Raw genomic sequence first — 23,997 nt, 5'->3', positions numbered from 1 at the left:
AGAGAGAAAAAAAACAAAGTGGTGGGTAGACAGAGTAGACTTCTCTTCAATCTAATCTAACCTCATCTCTTTATCATTGAAAAATTAATAGCACTTCACTGTCCCTTAGATGCACTTCCTATGTCACCTATTCAAAGGATATTAAACATGCAATTCTATGCGTTTTCAGAGTGTAATGCGAGGGAGGCTGATGGTGACTCCCCAAATCGGAGATAAACGATCATAGGATATTAGAGCTGGAGTTGCCTTCATAATTGTCTCATGCAGTTCACATTTTAACATTGAAACTGAGTTTCAGAGAAGTTAAGAGATTCATCTAAAATCACACAACTTGTTAATAGCAAAGCTGGTACAATAATCCGTGTATTTTCATCTTGCTTGTAGAGAGTCCATATCTTCTGAATTTAGATCTTCTTTTACAAATTGTCCACTTATCCCAACCAGATATCAAAAAGTCAACCCTCTTTTTGTTATTAAAAATATAAAATCACTTGGGCCTGTCTTCAAAAGTTTCTCCACATGGGCAGAGGTTAGGAGTGTGAGGAAAATGGCCTCTGGAGCAACAATGATTTAAAGCTTGAGCCGTAGCCTTTGATCACTAGCACACTTTGCCCTGCTGTGAATTCCACAGATGGAGTTTTCTCGGGGAGCTATATAACTTTCTTGCTTATGTAGTTGAAATAAATCTAAACCCACTTACTTTGCTCTCCTGCCCAGTTTTTATTAACTACAGGTTGCAAGGCAAGTTTGGAGGCATTCGCTCCAGCCAAGTTTTGTGCATGGTACGCCACTGCCCTCTACTGGTGGTACTATTCAAACCCCTCCTTCTGTCTCCCAGGGATGTGATGTGTTTAGTCCCAGGTTAAGAGGGAAATTTTGTGATGCAGACAGTTCTTTTGGATCCAAGACATGCAAATAAAGGGCAGTAACAAATGATGTATTACATTAAGGAATTTATTTCAGGTAAATGAGTTTCACCATTTTCTGTGTTAATGTTTCTGTATCCCTGGTGAAATCAAGGATAAATTGTGTGTGTGTGTGTGTGTGTGTGTGTGTGTGTGTGTGTGTCTACATATTGGAGACATCAGGCCTGTGGGTTCATAACTGTGGAAGGAGAAATTAAACCAAAGCAAAACACCTGTTAACTTATGCCAGTTGGTCTTCTGCGGTGAAGGTGGAGGGAAGTTCTTTGAAATATTTACTGGTTTATATCAAGCATAGTTTCAAGTATAGTTGAGTTTTAGTCCTAGACCTTACTTAATATGTAGGTAATGAGGTTCATCTGGCTCAAAATATTAAACAGAAACTGCATTTTGCAACTAGTATAATCTATCTTCTTTCTCTCTTTTGAAACAGTGGCTCATAGATAGTCAAATGTATTCTCTTCTGTTTTTCATTAATGCTAAATTGAAGAAGAGTTGAATTTCTTTTTTCTATATTAATAGCACATGGATTCACACACTGAAGAGCCAATGAACAGGAATTTTGCAGGAAAAAAAGAGGATTTCTCTGTCAACATACCCAGGGTCTCAACAGTTTCTAGGTTATTAATGTGCCTCAAAAAACTGTAAGAGCTGCATATGTATTAAGGCAGCTAATCATTTTTCCATCAGCTTTGTGTAATCTTCCAATTCTGGATGCAACCAGTTTTCAACACATTGTGAAAGAAAGGCAAATGCTCTTGCAACTGGCCTCATGCCATGTAGCAAAACACAGACTCGGAACAACTAATTTGAAGCTGAAATTAATGCCTTTTTTAATTCTGGGGAAACTGTTCTCTTGAGAAAGGTGTTTTTCCTTTTTTTAACCTATATGTTACATGGGTGTCAGAATTACATATTTTCTCACAAGATTTTACATCAGCCCTGATATTTCTATGCTGATAAAAGTGAATCCATGTGACAATGGAAATATTTCCTACAGAGCATTTAAAATAAACATATTAAATAAAATTAGAATTCAGAGGGATCTCAAAAATAATACTTTAGGATTGATTACATAGGCACTCCTTTTATTTTGGTTGATCTATGTACCTATTTATCTATCTATCTATCTATCTATCTATCCGTCTATCAGTTAAATTGTAAATGCATCCATTTTGAATCCTATGGTATTTAACAGACTTGAACAGTTGGAATGGTCAAGTTATACTTTTTATTTGCACCTGCCTGAAATATACACAGTTATATGACAGTGGCAATGAAAATCAAATTTCTGTTCCACAGATAAGAAAGTAATTACTTATTATTCAACTTTTTAAGTGGTCAAATGTTTATTTCTTAATTGGACAACTACACTAAAAGTACTTGTTTGCTTGAAATAAATCTTGTGCCTAATTTTTTCTGTGTATTGGTGGCTAACTTAGTCAATTCCATCTTACTCTTCTTCAAAAAACGGCTTTATTGAGCTATCATTCACATACTATACATTTCAGCCATTGAAAGTTGCAGAATTCAGAGGTTTTTAGTATATTCACAGAGATGTGCAGCCATCACCAAAATCTAACTTCAGAAAATTTTTGTCACCCCAAAAAGAAACCCCACTCGCATTGGCAACCACTCCCCCATCTTCTCTCCCATCCCCTTCCCACCACCCTTTCCTATCCCTAGGGAACCATCAATCTACTTTTCTTGTCTATAGATGTGCTTTTCTACATATTTAATTTAATAGAATCATACCATATATAGTCTCTTGTGACAGGCTTCTTTTACTTAGCATAAAGACTTTGAGATTCACCCATGTAGTGGCACGTATCAGGTACTTCACTGCTTTAATGTCTGAAAAAAGTATTTCTTTGTATGTATACACCACATTGTATTTATCCATTCATCACATAACAGAATAGACATGAGGCTTTTTTAAATTTTTATTTTATTATTATTATTTTTTAGACAAGGTCTTACTCTGTCATCCAGGCTGGAGTGCAGAGGCACGATCATGGCTCACTGCAGCTTCAACCTCCCCAGGCTCAGGTGATCTTCCCACCTCAGCCCCCTGAGCAGCTGAGACCACAGGTGCAAGCCACCATGCTTGGATAATTTTTGGATTTTTTGTAGAGATGAGGTTTTGCCATGTTGCCTAGGCTGGTCTTAAACTCTGGCCTCAAGCGATCATCCCACCTCAGCTTCCCAAAGTGCTGAGATTATAGGCATGAGCCACCGTGCCTGGCCTGACATTTGGCTATTTCACTTTTTGGCAACTATGAATAATGCTGCTGTGAGCATTCATAGATACGTTTTTCATTTCTCTTGAGTGTATACCTCAGAGTGAAACAGTTTAGTCATATTATAACTCTTTGTTTAAATTTACGAGAAAATGCCAGCTGTTTTCCAAATAAGCTCCAGTATTTTACATTCCTACAGGTATTATGTGAGAGTTCTACTTTTTCCATATAATCTCCAGCATTGTCATTGTCAATCTTTTTCATTATAACCTTCCTACTGGGTAAAATTGGATTATATATCTCTTAGTTATTGAGTTGTAAGAATACTTTATGTATTCTAGATGCTAATCCGTTACCAGACATGTAATTTGCAAATATTTTCTCCCATTCTGTGGGTTTATCTTTTCATTTCTTGATTATACAATTTGCAGCACAAAATGTTTTAGTTTTGATCAAGTTCTATATATATATAACATGTGCTTTTAAATATATATATATATTTAACGTGCATATATATATATATATATATGTATATACACACACATATATATTTTTAACATGTGTTTTTGGTATAGAGAAAACACTGCCTGAACCAAGGTCACAAAGATTTATTCCTCCATTTTCTTCTAAGTGTTTTTTGTTTTAGCACTTACGTTTAGGTCTATAACCCATTTGAGTTAATTTTTGTATTTAGCATAAGGAAGAAGTCCAACTCCATTTTTTGTATGTTGTTATCCAGTTGTCCAGTACCATTTGTTTAAAAGACTATATTACCCCCAAATTAATTCTCATGATGTCTTTGTTAAAACTTCATTCACCAAGAAGACAATGGTTTATTTCTGGACTCTCAAGTCTGCTCCATTGACCAATATGTCTACTTTATGTTAGTGCCATACTGTCTTGATTACTGCAGTTTTGTAGTAAGTGTTGAAATTGGGAACTGTGGGCCTTCCAACTATGTTCTTCTTTTTCAAGTATCAATTATATTTTTCTTAATTGGACAACTTAACTGGAAATATCTCTTTGCTCTAAACTGAATGTTGTAGATGTTTCTTCCTATACATTGGTATCTGCTTTAGTAATTACCATCTTGTTCTTTTTGGTTAAAGCAAATTACTTGGTTTTAATATTATGTCTGGCAAAATTTACTATGCAATTTGAAACAAACATGAGGAATTTTAAAAAGATTGTTGCTTTTTAACTCACGTAATTTTGCTTCTAAACGTTCTTCCAAGAAAGGTACACACTGTGTGGTCTTCTTTGATGCAACTGGGCAAAGAGCCAGGATTGGAACTATTAGCTTTCACTGGGCCCAGGTCAGTTGCAAGTCAGGGGTTCCATAATTGAGAGAAAAGAATGAAAGAAACTGTCTAGGAAGAAAAGAAGAGTACCAGTGTAACAGGAAACAGAAACCAGCAAAATGAAGTAAGTTAACTATATTTTTGCTCATTTTTCTTTCCAAAGAAGCATTAAGTTTGATTGTTAGAACTATATGATGAGAAGAAAAAAAGTTTTGGTGAATGACCTTGTTCTCTTTATGGCAAGGAGGACACTAGAATTCTAATAAAATCTAGAATAATTTCAACATTTTCAAAAAACACTGTTGACTACTCTAAGATTCTAATTTTGAAGATAAGCAAGAACCCTAGATGAGATAAACAAAATTGTCCAGATGGCAGACACCCAAGCCACTACTGAAACTAAGATCTTTTAGCTCCCAGGTCAGATTTAATAAAGGTTTACCTTCAGCAGAAGTTACAACAAATAAGAGTTTTGTTTTAGAGGAAGAGTTGAGAGGAAAATAGAAAGAAACAACAGGAGACAATACAACCTTGTATAAATTTGGCATTCCTAAATTTTATATATATGGCACAGGAAGTCAGGGGTATCAATGAAAACTTGTGTTTATGTCTCCCAGTGAATCATATTGTCTGCCTAATACCCTATTTTAAGACTGTGCTAGAACCCCCATCCCAGACTGATTGCAATGAGCAATGACTGACCTGCATCTCTCTGGGCTGGAGCCCCCAGGAAATAAACAAAAGACCGTTGGCTACAACCACTACTAAGGTCCTTTCTTCTGCTGCCTCAAAATTGAGAAAAAAGCAAACGACTTGGAAAACATATTTTAGGATCTTATCCAGGAACACAGGCTCAGTGTTTTGTGCTTTTCTCTTTTGCACATGCTCCACTCTTATTCCATAGGATGATAAACATAAACCCTAACGTCACCCCAGAGCTGTGGATGGCAGCTCAGGAGTGCCAAGCCGTAATCTACAGCCAGCAGTCAAGTGGGAGAAGAGCCCACACTTGCAGAGCATTGAGAGGGAACATGACTGCAACTGTGAAGAAATATATGAGAGCCACACGACTGAGCAAGAGCCAACTACCTGGCCACTATGCCTAAGTGCTACTTACTGGATCATACCTCTGAGCTTTAAGTCCAAAAATACCTCACTAATATAACCTGTGAAACCAAAGACAAGAAGTCAGCTATAAATAAAAACACTGCACAAAGGCTCAGCTACGTGAAAACATCCAGAAAAGAAGTCTGTTAACTGTACTTAATCTACATCACAGTTAAAGGAACACCTACATGTAGATATGAAAAAGAACTAACTCAAGAACTCTGGCAACTCCAAGGACCAGAGTGGCTTATGTCCTCCAAATCATTGTACCAGTACTCCAACAAGAGTTCTTAGGTTAAGCTGGCTGAAATGACAAGAATAGAATTCAGAATATGGAATGAAAATCATTAGGATTCAAGAGAACATCAAAACCCAATCTAAGGAACCTAAGAATCACAATAAAATAATACAGGAGCTGACAGATGAAGTAGCCAGGATGAAAAAAGAACCTAACTGATCTGATAAAGCTGAAAAACACACTACAGGATTTTCATAATGCAATTGCAAGTTTTAACAGCAGAATAGGCCAAGCTAAGGTAAGACTCTGATCTTAAAGACTGATTCTCTGAAATAAAACAGTCAGGAAAAAAAAAAAAAAAGAAAAGGAAAGGAAAAAGAGAAGGAAAAAACATATCCTCTGAGAAATATGGGATCATGTAAAGAGGGAAAAGGTACAAATCACTGGCATCCCCAAAAGGGATAGGCAAAAATCAAACGACATGGAAAACATATTTTAGGATATCATTTATAAAAACTTCCTGAACCTCACTATAGAGGCCGATAGTCAAATTCAGGAAATGCAAGGAACTCCTGCAAGATTCTACGTAAGATTACCCCAAGACACATGATCATCAGATTTTCCAAGGTTGAAATGAAAAAGAGAATGTTAAAGGCAGCTAGAGAGAAAGGGCAGGTTACCTGAAGAGGAACCCCATCAGGCTAACAAAAAACCTCTCAGCAGAAACCCTCCAAGTCAAGAGAGATTGGGGGCCTATACTCAACATTCTTAGAGAAAAATTTTCAACTAAGAATTTCATATACAACTAAATGAAGCTTTCTACATGAAAAAAAAATAAGACTGTTTTCAGATAAGCAAATTCTTAGGGAACTCATTACAACCAGACCCATTTTACAAAAGATCTTGAAATGAGCACTAAATATGGAAAGAAACGACTAACTAGCCAATAGAAAAAACAGTTAAATACACAGACCAGTGATACTATGAAGCAACTACGCAAACAAGCTTGCATAATAACCAGCTAAAAATGCAATCACAGGATTAAATCCACACATATCAACACTAACCTTGAATGTAAATGAGCTAAATGCTCTATTTAAACAGCAAAGAGCGGCAATCTGAACAAAACGAAAGACCCAATGATATGCAGTCATCAAAAGACCCATCTTACATGCAGTGACACCAATACACTCAAAATAAAGGGATGGAGGAAAATCTACCAAGCAAATGAAGAAAACAGAAAAAAAAAACAGGGGTTGCAACCCTAATTTCAGACAAAACAGACTTTAAACCAACTAAGATCAAAAAAGACACAGAAGGCCATTACATAATGGTAAAAGGTTCAATTCAATGAGAAGACCTAACTACCCTACATATACAGCACTCAACACAGGAGAACCTAGATTTATAAAGCAAGATCTAAAAGGAGACTTAGACTCCCACACAGTGATAGTGGGAGACTTCAATGCTCCACTGACAGTATCAGACAGATCACTGCAGCAGAAAATTAACAAAGATATTCAGGACCTTAACTAAACATTGGACCAAATGGCTCTAACAGACCTCTGCAGAACACTCCACTCCCAAAACAACAAAATAGACATTCTTCTCATTGCCACATAGCACATACTGTAAAATCAAGAACACGGTCAGAAATGAAACAATCCTCAGCAAGTGCAAAAGAACCAAAATTATATCAAACACACTCTCAGACCACAGCACAATAAAAACAGAAGTCAAGACTAGGAAAATCACTCAAAACCATACGACCACATGGATATTAAACAATGTGCTCCTGAATGACTTCTTGGAAAATAATGAAATAAATGCAGAAATCAAGAGGCTATTTGAAACTAACGAGAACAAAGATACAACATACCAATGTATCTGAAACACGGCTAAGGCAGTGCACAGAGGGAAATTTATGGCAATAAATGCCCACATCAAAAAATTAGAAAGATCACAAATTGGCAGCCTAACATCACAACTGAAAGAATTAGAGAAGCAAGAGCAAATCAACCCCAAATCTAGCAGAAGACAACAAATAATAAATATCAGAACTGAACTGAAGGAAATTGAGACACAAAAAAACCATTCAAATGATCAATATTTCACTGGTTTTTTGAAAGAAATTAATGAAATAGTCCACTAGCTAGACTAATAAAAATAGAGAGAGAAGATCCAAACAAACACAGTTTGAAACAGCAAAGAAGATGTTACCACCCACCCCACAGAAACACAAATAACTCTCAGAAACTACTACGTACAACTTTATGCACACAAACTAGAAAGCCTAGAAGAGATGGATAAATTCCTGGACACATATACCCTCCCAAGACTAAACCAGAAAGAAATTGATTCCATGAGCAGATCAATAATAAGCTCCAAAATTGAATCAGTAATAAGTACCCTACCAACCAAAGAAATCCCAGGACCACATGGATTTACAGCTGAATTCTATCAGATGTACAAAGAAAAGCTAGTACCATTGCTATTGAAACTATTACAGAAAATTGAGGAGGAGGGACTCCTCCAAAGCTCATTCTTTGAGGCCAGCATCATCTTCATAGTAAAACCTTGCAGAGACACAAGAAAAGAAAAAAAGAAAACTTCAGGCCAATATCTTTGATGTATTTTGATGCAAAAATCCTCAATAAAATATTTGCAAGCCAAATCTGGCAGCATATCAAAAAGTTAATCCACCATGAAGAAGTAGGCTTTATTTCTGGGATGCAAGGTTGGTTCAACATATGCAAATCAATAAATGTGATTAATCACATAAACAGAACTAAAACCAAAAACCACAGGATTATCTCAATAGATGCAGAAAGGCTTTCAATAAAATTCAATATCACTTCATGTTAAAACTCTCAATGAATTACATATTGAAGGAACTACCTCAAAATAATAAGAGCCATACATGACAAACCCACAGCCAACATCATACTGAACATGTAAAAGATAGAAGTGTTCCCCTTGAAAACTGGCAAAAGGCAAGGATACCCTCTCTCACTACTTTCATTCAATGTAGTATTGGCAGTCCTGGCCAGAATGACCAGGCAAAAAAAAGACATAAAGGGCACCCAAATTGAAAGAGAGAAAGTCAAACTTTCTCTGTTTGCAGAAGACATGATTCTATATCTAGAAAAACCCATGGCTGGGCGTGGTGGCTCACACTGTAATCCTAGCACTTTGGGAGGCTGAGGCAGGAGGATCACCTGAGGTCAGGGGTTCGAGACCAGCCTGGCCAACATGTTGAAACCCCGTCTCTACTAAAAATACAAAAATTAGGCAGGAGAATCGCCTGAATCCAGGAGGCGGAGGGTGCAGTGAGCTGAGATTGTGCCACTGCACTCCAGCCTGGGCGACAGAGTGAGACTCTGTCAAAAAAAAAAAAAAAAAAACCCATAGTCTCAGCCCAAAAGCTCCTTCAGCTGATAAACAACTTCAGCAAAGATTCTGGATACAAAATCAACATTAAAAACTCAATAGCATTCCTATACACCAATAACAGCCAAGCCAAGAACCAAATCAGGAGTGCAATCCCATTCACATTTGCCACAAAAAGAATAAAATACCTAGGAATACAGCTAACTAGGGAGGTGGAAGATCTCTAGAAGGAGAACCACAAAACAGTGCTCAAGGATATCAGAGAAGACACAAACAAGTGGAAAAACATTCTATATTCATGGATAGGAGGAATCAATATCATTAAAATTCCCATACTGTCCAAAGCAATTTACATATTCAATGCTATTCTTATCAAACTAACAATGACATTCTTCATATAATTAGAAAGAAAACTATACATATACATATACATAACATACATATGAAGCCAAAAAAGACCCCAAATACACAAGGCAATCCTAAGCAAAAGGATCAAAGTTGGAGGCATCATGCAACCCAACTTCAAACTATACTACAGGGCTACAGTGACCAAAACAGCATGGTACAGGTACAAAAATAGACTTATAGATAGACAATAGAGCAGAACTGAGATCCCAGAAATAAGGCTGCACACTTACAAGCACCTGATCTTCAACAAAGCTGAGAAAAACCAACAATGGGGAAATACTCCCCTATTCAATAAATAGTGCTGGGATAACTGGCTAGCCATATGCAGAAGATTGAAACTGGACCCCTTCCTTACACCATATAAAAAATCAACTTAAGATAAATTAAAAAGTTAAATGTAAAACCCCAAACTATACAAAAGCTGGAAAACAACCTAGGCAATACCACTCTGGGCTAGAAATGGGCAAAGATTTCAGGATGAAGATGCCAAAAGCAATTGCACCAAAAGCAAAAATTGACAAATGGGATCTAATTAAACTAAGGAGCTTCTGCACAGCAAAAGAAACTATCAACAGAATGAACAGACAACCTACAGAATGGGAGAAAATATTTGCACACTATGCATCTGACAAAAGCCTATTATCTACAAGGAAATTAAACAAATTTACAAGAGAAACCCAAAGACCCCTGTAAAAAAGTGGGCAAAGGACCTGAGCAGACACTTTGTAAAAGAAAACATACATGCAACTAACAGTCATATAAGAAAACCCTCAATATTACTGATCACTAAAGAAATGCAAATCAAAACCACAGTGAGATATCATCTTACACCAGTCAGAATGGCTATTATTAAAAAGTCAAAAATAACAGATGCTGGCAAGCCTGCAGAAAAAAAAGGAATACTTATTTACTGTTGATGGGAGATAAATTAGTTCAACCATTGTGGAAGATAGTGTGGTGATTCCTCAAAGACCTACAGGCAAAAATATCATTGACTCAGCAATCCCATTAGTGGGTATATACCCAAAGGAATATAAATTATTCTACCGCAAAGGCACATGCATGCGTATGTTCATTCTAGCAACATTCACAATAGCAAGAACATGAAATCAACATAAATGTCCAACAGTGGTAGACTGGATAAAGAAAATGTGGTGTACATATGCTGTGGAATACTACACAGACATGAAGAATAATAAGATCATGTCCTTTTCAGGGACATGGATGGAGCTGGAAGCCATCATCCTTAGCAAACTAACGCAGAAACAGAAAACCATAATTTTCTGTTATTTTGTGTGGGTATAAATATTTCTTGCCTCCTGGAGATTAGTAGAAAAGAAAAAAATAAGAACATAAAGAGCTTAATTAAATCTCTTTGACAAACTAGCTCAATAAAAAAGTTTACATTGATTTTCCTATCATTCAGTCTTCATGCACATTGTTGCATTTTTGAAGGAAAAAGAGAGTATGCATCTTTCATTTTTTTTTAATATCTGAATTTACTGGCTTCCACTTTCCAAGCCTGAAATCTCTGAGATGTTTTGAGAAGGAGAAAGTAACAAAGGCCACCATGTTCTTCCTCTCTCAAAATTATCCTCCAAGGAGAGTTTTGCCACTTCACATTTTCTCAAGTATGGCTCATGAAGCAGCCTCTTAGGAAGAGGGAAAAGAAAAGAAATGAAGTTCATTAATAGTATTAAGTTACAACTAGGAAATATGTTTCAGAAAGTCCAATAGCATCAGCCTTAACAGCACTTTTCTCTCAGTGTCTGCCTTTGTACCAAGCTGTCAGATTGCCAAAATGGCACTACAAAGAAAGCATAATTACTTGGTGGCATCTGACAAATTTCTTGTTCTTTTTTGAGATTTTAAGTATTTCTCCACATTATATGTTAGCAATTGATCCTGGCCTGAGGATGTTCCTATGTCTGTCCACTGGGTCTTCTCAATTCTCACCCCTACTGCCAGGCGTTTCCCTCCTCGTATTACTTGAGATGGTCTGTTTTCTTTCTTTGAACCTAGGTCCTTCTACATCCTTCTCCTGTAATGCACATCTTCCATCTTTCCTAGTGCTTACATACAATTTCTTTTTAATGAGTAAATATTGCTTCTTTTAGCCAAGACCTCTTCTATGTGTAACCATTACAGAAGAGGGAAAGTCAATGTTAGGGAGGAAGTACAATGCGTGCTATGCTTGTACAATTAAGAGAGAAACATGAAAATTATAGAAAAAGACCAATGGCTATAAAAGCAAACAGAAACATGATTGGATGTTTATGTAAAGTTGCAGGCACTGGTGGTAGCTTTTCCTATTTCAAGGATCCTTTTCTTCTGATGTAACAAAATATTAATTTTGTTTGGGTTGCCAATGGGCTTTTTACAAGGATTCAACCCCCAAGACTTGCTTGTAACTATATGTAATCATGTGACACAGATCTGCCTGATGGGATTTGAAAAAAAAGTAAATCTGTTTGACATTTTGCCTTTTGTCTTTCTTCTTCTTTCTTTCTTGGAATAAAGATATGATTCCCAAAATGAGAGAAATTGTCTTGCGACCTTAAGGAAGAAACCACAGAATATTGTTGGCTGATAAAAGATACCAAGACTATCAACCACACACCTCTTGACACATTAGAAAAATTAACTACCTTGCTTGTGTGTGTTATTGAGTATTAGGAAGCATCTAAGTAAAATCCCAATATGTTTGTGCATGAGTATATGTGTCTCTGTATGTGTATTATAAATTATAATACCAACTATACTCCTAAGTCTAGAAATAACCTTTTAAAACACATTATAAGTGTTTCATAAATGAACATACCAACATTTATTTAACTAATGCCCCATTACACATGTTTAGACTACAGCTTCTCAAACAAGGCTAATATTATTCTCCTAAGGGGATAGAAATATGCGTCGGTGGAGTGTTCCTGGTTGTTACAAAGGTTGATGTAGGCACATTTCTGGAATTTCATGGATGAATGAAAGGAATGTAAAATCTCCTGATACACAGGCCAGGCACACAAATGAAGAACTGCTCACCTAAAGTGCCAATACAGCCCGATTGATAGCCATCAATTTAGGGGTTTTATATTTTTTTAACATTATAAGCAATATAAAAATGTTTTGATTAAAATTTGTGTACAAGCAGCTAATTATTTTCTTAGTGGAAATGACCTAGAGATAAAAATACTGGGTCCAAATTCAGTTACTTTAAGATTTTAGGATTCTGTACACATGCATGTATGTACATACAATGTTTTCCAAGTTGTTTTTCAGAAAATCTGTGCTAATATAAGTTTTGAAATTATTTACATCTTGCCAATTTAAGGAAATTAGTCTTTTAACAGTAGTAGTTGCTTAAAGCAAGGGTTAACTTAATAGTGGTAGAGATGATGGTAAATAATGATGGTTAACTGATAGTATAGAGTTCATTTCATCCCTACCATCAGGTTCCATGCCATCGCTGCTGTGTAAACCATTGTGGGGCTTTCAAACTAGGTGTGCAGGCTACATCTGAGGTCTCCTGAACCAGGTGCCCATAGGTAGCGTTCCCATGCTGTCCTGGGCAAGCCTCACAGGAGTGTGCACCGTGCTGCGTGCAAGTGACTCCAGGACATGTAAATGAACTGGTCTTGTGTCCTCAGGGGTGGAGCAGGTATCAAGAAAGGCTTCATTTTTCCTTTTTTAAAAATAGCATATTAGTAGTATCCCATAAGTTCAAATAAAAGAATATCATTTCTCCTTTGGGGTTAAAGAGCCAGGGAATGCTTCTTTGAGATGCTCTGAACCATTGCTTGCTGAAAGCTGACTCTCCCTTAGCAAAGGCTGTGATGTGCAACTTTTCATCCGGTGTCCAGTGCCCTGGGTGAGACCACCCCAACTTCCATTCAATCTTTATTTTCCACTATTGGCTTCCGTAACACCCATGCCCTCCTGATCGAGGTAAAATTCAAATGCCATTTTCTCCATGAAGACTTCACATAAAGAAAAATACATATACATTTTCCTAATCTTCTCTTAGAAACAATGAAGTCACTCTCTCAATAATAGTAACAATGAAAACAGAAGAACAAACATTTGCATAGAACTTTGTGGACTACAAGCAGCCCTAGGAGGTACTTTTATTTTTTTAATTTTAAAGATGAGGAAATAAAATATTGACTTGTTTGTGATAGGAAGGAAAAAATGAGGCTTCTTAGAAATTCCTGTTGTAAAAATGAGTTCAAATATGCTGTGAATTTCTTTGTGACATAAAATTATCCTAGTAAATTATTAATAAATTATAATTATTTTGTTTAGTGTGATTCTAAAACTTAAAACGAGGCATGCATATTATATAAAATTTAGGAAATAAAGCCTGAACAAAGAAGTTTAACATCATCATAATGACTGTTAATATTTTGGGGTGTTATGCATGAGTGCAAATATTTGTATTTGTGTATTTGCATATATACATTCTTTTGTACATATCAGATAATAAAGTGTATATTGCAATGTGTGACATATTCATCCTTTTATTTCTAGTGTTCAGCATGTATCATGGCAGTCAGGGGACCCTCAATATCTGTTGAATGCTGTGCCTGGAGGAAAAATGTCAGAATTGTTTTAGACTGTGATTTTTTCCATGTGTACAACGTTAGAGTTTGTTTTCTCAAGTACTAAACATCTGCTCGCATGACAATACAAAATATGAGTTCTCTTTTATGGATGAAAGTACTGAAGTTCAGAAAAAAATGATTCGTCTCACATTGTGCAGTTAATAAACTAGAATGCAACTGGAGTCTAGGTCTTCATATTTTAAGTTCTGTGTCTTCACAGTTTGAGTTCAGGATTTCTAGCACAGTTTCCTCAAGTTCCTTTGATTTCCTGGTTAAGATTACATTAAAAAGTGAAATACAACTTACTTTCATGAATTTAAGAATGCTGCAATAAAAATGAATGTGTGTGTTTTAGTTTTAGAATCACACTAAACATACATACATAAATATATAAATTTATAGAAGGATTAAACTGTTATTTATCACATCAAATTTAACAACCTCTTTATAAATGTACACACTGAAATTGCCTGGTTACCTGAAACTCTGTGGGTTTCTGCCTATAGCCATCCATATCCCTGAGTGGCTAGCTATATCATGTGCAGACAGGAGGAAGTCTGACTTTAAGATGGCATCTTGTACGTGAGAAAATGTTAATGGCAACGCTTATACACAAACTGTCAATGCTATTCATATTTGGGGAAAAAAAGACTAATTGTGCCCTTTGAAGTAATACTATGATATTGTGGTTTACTGGGATACAAATCAGGAGCTCTGATTATATCATGTTCCTGTAATTTGTATGTCTCAATGCCAGAATTATTTTTCTGTTTGCAGTTTTTTTTAATACTTGCTGTTAATGGCACAATTGCTGACGTGAAAGACAGTAATAGAGTATAAATCTTTTTTCCCATACCACTCCTCATTGACCTAAATACTTCTACTCTTACTCCTCACCACCATTATTTCAGCCTTTTAATTTGGATTCCCTGATGCTACAACTGATTTGTATGTCAGTATCTCAATTTTTTAAACATAAATTTAAAGTATGTGCATTTGACTGCTCTTTCTTACCCAAGAATAATAAGATAATATTAAAGAGGGCTAATGAAAAAGAAATGACCCTTATTTACTTTGGGAAAATAAGAAGGAATCAAAATCCAAGACTTCTCAAAGGAAACAATTCAACTTCAAAGGTTGTAGAAAGTAAATGAAGCACCAACTCTGCATTTAACTGGATGATAGAAGAAATGTCCGCCATCCACATTTTACTCACAGGAGCTTTTGAGTTTCATCCAGAAACAACAAATACAATAAAAGATACAAAATAGACTACATGGAAAATATAATTATATTATATAAAATATATAATATATACATCTTTATCTATAAAGATAGAATTGTAAGTGCTTAAATAAGTGATACAGGGGCCAGGTGCAGGGGCTCATGCCTGTAATCCCAGCACTTTGGGAGGCCGAGGCAGGCCGATTGCCTGAACTCAGGAGTTCCAGACCAGCCTGGCCAACATGATGAAACCCTGTCTCTACTAAAATACAAAAAATTACCCAGAAGTGGTGGCGTGGACTGTAATCCCAGCTACTCGGGAGGCCGAGACAGGAGAATCGCCTGAACCCAGGAGGTGGACATTGCAGTAAGCCGAGATCGCACAATGGCACTTTAGCCAGGGTGACAGAGCAAGACTCCATCTCAAAAAAAAAGAAAAACAAAAAAAAAGTGATACAGGTATGATGTATAAGAGTTTGAGGGAGCAATCAATTTAATTTGGAAAGATATACAATTCTGATTAAATCTTAAAGGTGTTTTGTATACCACACATGTGTCTCATACGGACACTCTCCAAGGTCGAAACAATCCCACATCAGAAATTCTACATTCTTTTCTTTTTTTTTTCCTGTGAACAAGAAAAAAAATCAGGCCGTGCTTTATTCTCATGTAATCACCTCTGGTGAACACACTGAGAATTTTCTTCTCTGAATCACGTTGGGTGGCATCACACATGAATAATACATGAGGAATTCGAGCCAGAGCTTCCTTTTACCCATGACGGTAGGTGAGCATCACCTTTAGGGGTGGGGAAGGTCTCCTGCCATTGGCTGGTCACTGGTTTGCTTGTAAAAAACACAAGTCCACTTTCCCAACTGTGTAAACATGAACAGATTTGCTGCCTTCAGCTTTGAGTAATATAATTTTCAGTACCTTAGGCCTTGCCTTTCAGAACTTGTTGATAACCATTGGACTCTTTCTCATCTAGGGTAGCATCTAGGCCATGTGACCCCTGTAAGAAATGTTGAGTGAAAGAAAATTCAATGAATACCCAATAAAATATGAACTCTATTTTCTCGTTCTATGTAGTTCTGGAAATGCATATTTTTATTGGGTTATAAGTTAGGAGGTGTATTTAGAATGGTCCTTGAACTGAAGTAGACTCACATTCAGGTAATTGTAGTATTACTACAGTTACAATCTTGTTATCCTCATGCTTGTGTTGGAGATCCTACACAAGAACAATTTGGTTTGTGTAAACGTGGTATATTTCTTGGCCAATAAAATAAAATTAAAACTTCCTTTAGCCAAATGGAAACAGTTTAGATTGACTACTAGGAACCCAAACCTCCATAGTAAATGTAGCAAAAAAATTAAGGAAATACAAATTACATAGCTTGATGGGGACATGGAAAATATAATTATATAAAATATATAATATGTACATGATTTTTTAATATATATCATATATAAATCATATATATATCAAATATATATATCATATATAAAATATATTATATGTACATATAATATATTTTATATATCATATATTATATATTAAAATATATAGGATGTATATAATACATAAAAATATAAGAATCACTTGGAATTAAAAATTCCTTAGTTGACTTTTTTTTTATTTTCCAACATGTGGCTATACTATTCATGATCTTTAATAAGAGACTTCTCTCTCTCATGGGAAGCAACACACTGTAAGATTCCTCCCATCAGCTGACTGTGGAAAATGAATCTGTATCAGTCCTCCAATGCCAGATCAAAGGACTGGCAAAAAATGTCAGTACTTGACAATGATAACCAACCGTTATTATGTACTTCCTATTTTCTAAGTGTGGTCAGCTGTTATTCTACATATATTCTATAGATGTAGATGTTAATCTACATCTATACTCATTTAATGTGAATAACACCTATTACCATGAAGTCAGAAAATATCTGAGGATAGAAACCAGACTACACGAGAGTTCACTCTACTCGAGAAAGAATACAACATTTTTACTGAAGAAATGAGAGAAATGAGGTTGAAATATTTGTTACAGGAAAATATTTTGTAACAATGATCTATTTTAATATTAAGAAAAAAACAGCCAATTTAACACTGAACTAGGGGATTAGGGTGATTGCTATAATCAAGAAGATTAATGTGACTTTCAAGGTCCTCATGAATGCCCAACCTACAAAGCTATGGCGCCCATAATCACTGTTTATATAAGGAAAAGTGGACAGTTTAGGAATTCACAGTGTTGGAATACTGAATAAGTGCTAGGTTGGATATAGAATAAGTGCTAGGTTGGTAAATTAGAAGACACTCTAGTTTGTAGAAAATATTAATCTGGTTGAAATCCAAATGAGATATATTTTTCTATATTACATAAGAAGTTAGTACAAAATGGAGAGTCCATAAAGTTAAAAATTAAATTCATTAAATGAATTCCAAAGCAACTATATTGACCAAATTAATAAATTTAAAAATATGCTCTGAATCCGCTAGGGGTTAAACCAACCATGCCAACTGCTCTTGGACTGTTATTGCTGTTGTGTCATTGCCATTATTTTACTAAACCTATACTGTTGAAAAGCCAGAACAGGGGCAAAGGCCGCCATTTTAACTGAGCAACCCTAGTGATAGGAGCCGAAGCAGCAGCGCAGGTTGTCCCCGTTTCCTCTCCCCCTTCCCTTCTCCGGTTGCCTTCCCGGGCCCCTTACACTCCACAGTCCCGGTCCCGCCATGTCCCAGAAGCAAGAAGAAGAGAACCCTGCAGAGGAGGCCGGCGAGGAGAAGCAGGACACGCAGGAGAAAGAAGGTATTCTCCCTGAGAGAGCTGAAGAGGCAAAGCTAAAGGCCAAATACCCAAGCCTAGGACAAAAGCCTGGAGGCTCCGACTTCCTCATGAAGAGACTCCAGAAAGGGCAAAAGTACTTTGACTCAGGAGACTACAACATGGCCAAAGCCAAGATGAAGAATAAGCAGCTGCCAAGTGCAGGACCAGACAAGAACCTGGTGACTGGTGATCACATCCCACCCCACAGGATCTGCCCCAGAGAAAGTCCTCGCTCGTCACCAGCAAGCTTGCGGGGTAACCTGAGACCCCCTCTCCTCCCCTTCCTCAACCATTGGACTTTTATATATTATAGGCAGGGATGAAATGGGCACCTAGTCAGATCTTCTCAGCTTGCTAGCCAAAAATGACTGTGATTCTGCTGGGGGCTGCTGAGAAGGTAATGTAGGTTGAAAAGGGGCTCTAAGTTTATTTCTTTCGTTAGATTGACACTTCCACACACTCCCTGTAGTCCAGGTAGGGCCCAGAAATAGGAAAGGCTAGGATTGGACAATGCTGCAAATGCTTTTTTTGTGTGAGAAACTGGAGAGATGTGATTTCTCCTTTTGGGAGAGAATGTCCCAAAATTGATTAGGCTGAGCCTTGGGAATAATTTGGCAGGTTTAACATCCCAAGGCTAACCTAACATAGTTGGGAAAGGTAGATTGAATGAGACATGTTTTCTGTGCTTCTAAGTGTTCTGTCCCTTCGGCTGCTATTGCTTCATGTTTCCATTATGGCGAGTTTAGAGAATCCTTAAAAAGAAAAATTGACTTGCTTGCCTAAAACTACAGTGCCCCCTTAGCCTCCATTACTTAGTATCTCTTACAGTTTGCTCTGCCTTTCAAGTAATGTAAAGATTGATGAACATTATTCACAGAAAATGGGCACCTTCTCTCTCTTTTCCAGCATGTTGCTTTTGAAAGTATCATGGTATAGTGGGAAGAGCACTGGTTTAGGAGTCAAGATGTCTGGGTTCTCACTCTACTCAGTCCCAGCAGAGCTGTTGTATAACCTTGGTTAAGTCATTTAGCCTCTCTGGATTTCTATTTCCTCATCTGTAAAATAGAGTTAAATGTATGTAAGATTGATTCTGATTCTGAAGTCATAACTGCCAGCAGAAAAACTCCGTACTGTTCATTGTAAAACTAAAAGTGAGGAAGGCTCGTGGGTGGTTAACCTCTGCTCTGCAATATTGGGAAAGTACTACAGAGGGGAACCATTTGAGGGATGCATGAGGAGAGAGTAAATTGAGGTTTGGGGATTATAAATTCAGGCAAGAGAATCTTATCGATATCACAGTCTTGAGGGTCAAAAAAAAAAAAAATACTTAGGAAGCTAGCCATGGAAGCTTCTTGCCTCTGACCCAGCCCACTTTCCCAGCCTACCTCTGGGCCTTAGCTGCTAAAAAGCTTCTCTGGCAGCAGAGCTGCAGGCCTAAGGAAACATGCTCAGTCATGCACATATGTTGACCCATGTTTCAGATGCAGTCTGATGCCAGGTATATTGTTAGGGAAAGAGGAAGAAGGGTAAACTGAGCTAGCCCCTGGGGCTGAGTACTCCTGCAGGGCTGGAGGAGCAGGTTCTTAGAAGATGATTCACCTTGGAGGAAGCTGGGGAAAGTGGTTAGGGAGGGAGAGGAAGACTGAGAAATCTCTGCATTCCCAGAACTCAGCAACCCAGTTCTTTTATGATGAGGAGAGGTAGCTATGCTGACTCATGAACAGGTGGAGGAAAGGGGTTGCAGGTGACCAGCATCTTCAATCTAGTTATCACCAGCTTGGCTAGAATCTTATTGAACGCAACTTGCTAGTTATGATAGAGAGGGCCAGGGTGAGAACTAATGTTCAAGAGAGTGAGATTTTGTAATCCTCTTGCCCTCTCACATCACAAATTCTGATATGCCAAACATTTGGCCCACTGAGAATGACTGATAGACTTAATGATGTGCATGTGCGGGGATGAGGTGTGTATATACTTTCCTCCTGACTGGCCATTCAGTGTTCAGGCTGTCATTCAATTTGGATAGGAAAAAGTTGGTGAGGAAGGAATGGAGAGAGCAGGATCCCTGGACTCCTTGGTCCCCAAACTCCTTGACTGTCACTTGTAATTCTATATAATTTTTGTGTTTCTTGCTCCATTTCCTCATGCTGTCATCCTTAAAGTCCATGTGGGAAGGGGAAAATGCTGAACACCATTGTATAGTTTCTTCAACTGTCCCAGCCATGTTGTACATAGATATGTCATGTTATTATATATATAAATATATATATATAATTTTGTACGTTTTCTTCATCTCCGATCTTCTCGACTTCTGTACTTTTTTTCTTTTCTGTCTGAGCTGACTTCTCTGTCATTCAGCTTGAGTCCTCAAGACTACTGGTCACAATGAGTCTGATTTTTAGGAAGGAATAGGAGGAGCAGGGAAATCAGAAAAACTGTTGGTCTCACTCTGTCTCTCTACCTGGTCATCTTCAAGGCTAAGAAAACAAAGAAACAAGCTACATTCTGTATTTGCCGGTTTCCACAGCATGAAGTACATAGCTTCCTTAGCAAGGAGGGATCACTCCAAAATCCAAATGCAAATTGCTTTGATTAAAACTAGATTATTAAATCCAAAAAAAAAAGAAAGAAAAGCCAGAACAAAAAAGACCTCTTTCTTCTCATTTTGCCTTGGATAATGCCCAAATGCAAAAATTTACAATAACAGTAACTAACTTATTTAGTTCTATGAGTCAGCCTCTACTCTACATGCCACGCAAAAATAAACTCATTTCATATTTAAGTCATTAGTTTTCCTTTAGATGATGGGATATGCTAGGGACTTTCAGTAGTATTGCATCAGCCAGTGGGGTTGCCCATTAGCCATTTTCTTTTTGGTGATGCTTTCTTCATTTATGAGAAAACAGAATTGATATACCATTACTAGGCAAACATAGTTCTGTAAGGCTTAATTTATTCCATTGTGAGATAATGTTTATCATTTTCAACCAGAAAAGAAAAGCATGATGCTACTTCAGATAAATATATCTGCTACTTTATAATATTAATTAAAATAATTTGCCCCATTTAGTAAGGGAAAGTTATAATCATATATCCTCACTTTCAATCATCTTGGGAATAAAAGAAAAAGATGGGTTTACTTCCAGGGAGATCATGTCCATAGGTTAGACAATGAATGATCCTCTCTTCCACTCTTTCCAAATGGTAAAGTCATTAAGGGACTTCAGTTTTGCTTTGAAATAGAGCAAAGCTACTTCATTTAATTAATTGTGAAAAATAATTATGGGCAATAACTATTAATTATTATTTCAGTAATGAAATGAAAGTATTTTTGTTGTATATTTATTTGAATAATGCCTTTTGTAGATTTCTGAACAATTCTTCCACTGCCTTATAAAAAGCGTCTATGTAATATAGTAACCGATAAGGAATTGGGAGTTCCTCCAAATCTTTATTATATTCTGCTAGGATATAGCTTTAGGCAGCTGGACTAAATGATAATTCCCAGGATGAAACACAGTGGTTTGTTCCCCCAAAGAGCAAACTAATTTCAAACTAACCACGCTTGTTCTAATGAACAAAAATTCCATACTACTCCCCTAGCACCTCAGGAGATGTAGACTTTCCAGAATATTAATATTAAAAAATAAAAGATGATCATATCAGTTGTTCATAATCATGATAGAAAGTCTTAATATATATTTTATCAATGGAAGACCTTTTACTGATCACAGAATATTTCTTCCACTGCATCCTACAAGTATTCACACAGAGTCATCCCTTTCATCTTTGCTTAGATGGAATATAGTGATGCAATATTCACTAATAAAAGCAAATCCTACATTTTGATAATGTTAACATACTAGCTTAAAGTGAAAAAAGTTGCAAAGATAACCTGATGAGCCTTATCTCAACAGACTTCTGGTGCCTATAGAAAAATGAAGAAATGGGGAAAATATCTAGCAGGAATAATTTTTTTTTTGCAATAGAAGAGGAAGATAATTTCCAAACACAAATATATTGGCAGATTCTTATTTAAAATTCAACTCTCATTAAGGTGAAGGTCCTAGTTAGCAATTGGGTGTTTCAACTAGGAAGCCATCAGGATATTTTAAAAGTGTTTGCTAGAAGATGCTCATGTTTAATGAAGAAAGAGAATTGATTGTGTATTTATGGAGGAAAGAGAACTGATTGCTCAGGCGTCTCTTCTACTGCTCACAGACAAAACATATAATGAAAAAGGGTAAAGGCAGCTTTGTGAGACAGAGAATCAAATGGAAGCAAATATCATTTGTTTATCTGAAATATCCAAATACTTATGAATACGGGAAAGCAGAGCCTAAATCATGGAGATTTTGACTCAGCTTGTCACTCGTTTTCCTTGTATCAGCAAACACTTCAGCTACGTATTTAGTACAAAAATTCCCAAAAAGTCACTGTCATGGTTTGAATTCCTCCAGAAGCTAATCCCAAGGCAAGCATTTGAGTTCAAGTAATTTATTTAAAAAGTGATATTATAAGACATAATTAGGAGAATAAAGAAGTGAGAGAGAGACACAAGGATAAAGGTTGAATTGCCAAGACAGCATTCATTCTGAGCAATTGGATCTCATTCTCATTACAGAGCTTCGAGAAGACATAAGAAATAAGAGCGCTCTCAACTGAGAGCTGAGGAAGCTGGTGCACTAATCCACTCATGCCCTATGTCACTAGTGGGCATGAGTGAGAAAAATAATGCTGTGGGTGGAGACCTATAACTTCAGTATTTTTCCACCTTCTTCATTCTGTCTCACCAGTTCACCTGAATATATATCCCTGTTTAATAACCTTGTCTGTTAGTTCTAAATCTGTTATAGCTTCAGTTTGGTTTTGGGTGATATCTGCCTGCTTCTCTGAATGTCTAGTATTTTTCTTTAGATGCTAGTCATTTTGAATTTTACCTTATTGGGAGCTAGATTTTTTTTCTTTTTAAATTCCTATTAGTATTTTTTAGCTTTCTTCTAGGGCATAATTCAAGGCTCAAAGCTTTCTTCTGGAGTACAAACTTGGAAAGAGTTTGATTTTGGAGGTAGAAAGAGATCTTACTTTTAAGATTTGTTAGGAGGAAACAGGACTGTGCTTCCTTTAGGGCTATTTTTCCCCACTTCTGAGACAAAAGCCTCTGTGTGTTCTACTCAACAAATGCCCCCTAAATAATGAGGTTTTCTAGTCTGGTTGGTTGAATCAGTACAGTTCTAAACTCTATGTCAGTACCACAAACTGTTCCCTCCAATCTTTTTTGAGTGTTTTCCCCCTCACTTTGGCATGGTTCCTCACATGCAAGTGTTGAGTAGTATTGGTTGAATAATCAAGTGAAACACTATAAAATTTTAAATTTCTCTCGTTTAGCTTTGTGTGCTATGGTTGGATACAGGTTTATCAACAGTCAGAGGGTTTTTTTTTGTGTTTTTGTTTTTTAAGTACAGGATGATTCCTATGTAGCAACTTGTTTAGGCATTATTGAATAGTTAGAAAATAACAACAGTATTTTAAATATGCTACAGCATTTATAGCATTGAAATTACCTCAAAACTTTACAGCAATGGTACGTACCTGGTTCTTCCACGAACTGCGTAGCTCACCTGTCCACCATCATCTTCATGTTTCACCTTAAAAAAGAGACACCAATTTTCCCCCTTTAATCATCTTGCTCAAATTTTCATGAAAAACTCAAGTAAAGCCAAGC

The 23,997-nt window shown here is 36.6% G+C and overlaps 1 long non-coding RNA gene and 1 pseudogene across 1 annotated transcript in view; one reads left to right on the top strand and one right to left on the bottom strand.

The window, feature by feature from the left end:
• Nucleotides 1-4,408: 4,408 nt before the first annotated feature.
• Nucleotides 4,409-23,997, bottom strand: part of LINC02301 (long intergenic non-protein coding RNA 2301) — a 64,194-nt gene continuing 44,605 nt past the window's right edge. The window contains exons 4-6 of the long non-coding RNA NR_146650.1: nt 23,865-23,920; nt 16,366-16,444; nt 4,409-4,533 (exon numbers count right to left, since the gene is read on the bottom strand). This is a non-coding gene — a long non-coding RNA (long intergenic non-protein coding RNA 2301). The remainder of the gene's footprint in view (nt 4,534-16,365; nt 16,445-23,864; nt 23,921-23,997) is intronic.
• ENSAP2 (endosulfine alpha pseudogene 2) lies at nt 18,036-18,361 on the top strand (annotated as a pseudogene).

Source organism: Homo sapiens, chromosome 14 (assembly GCF_000001405.40).
Source record: "Homo sapiens chromosome 14, GRCh38.p14 Primary Assembly".
NCBI classification, from domain to species: domain Eukaryota; kingdom Metazoa; phylum Chordata; class Mammalia; order Primates; family Hominidae; genus Homo; species Homo sapiens.
The sequence above is the reverse complement of the archived record's forward strand: the minus strand, read 5'-3'. Positions and strand labels throughout refer to the sequence as shown.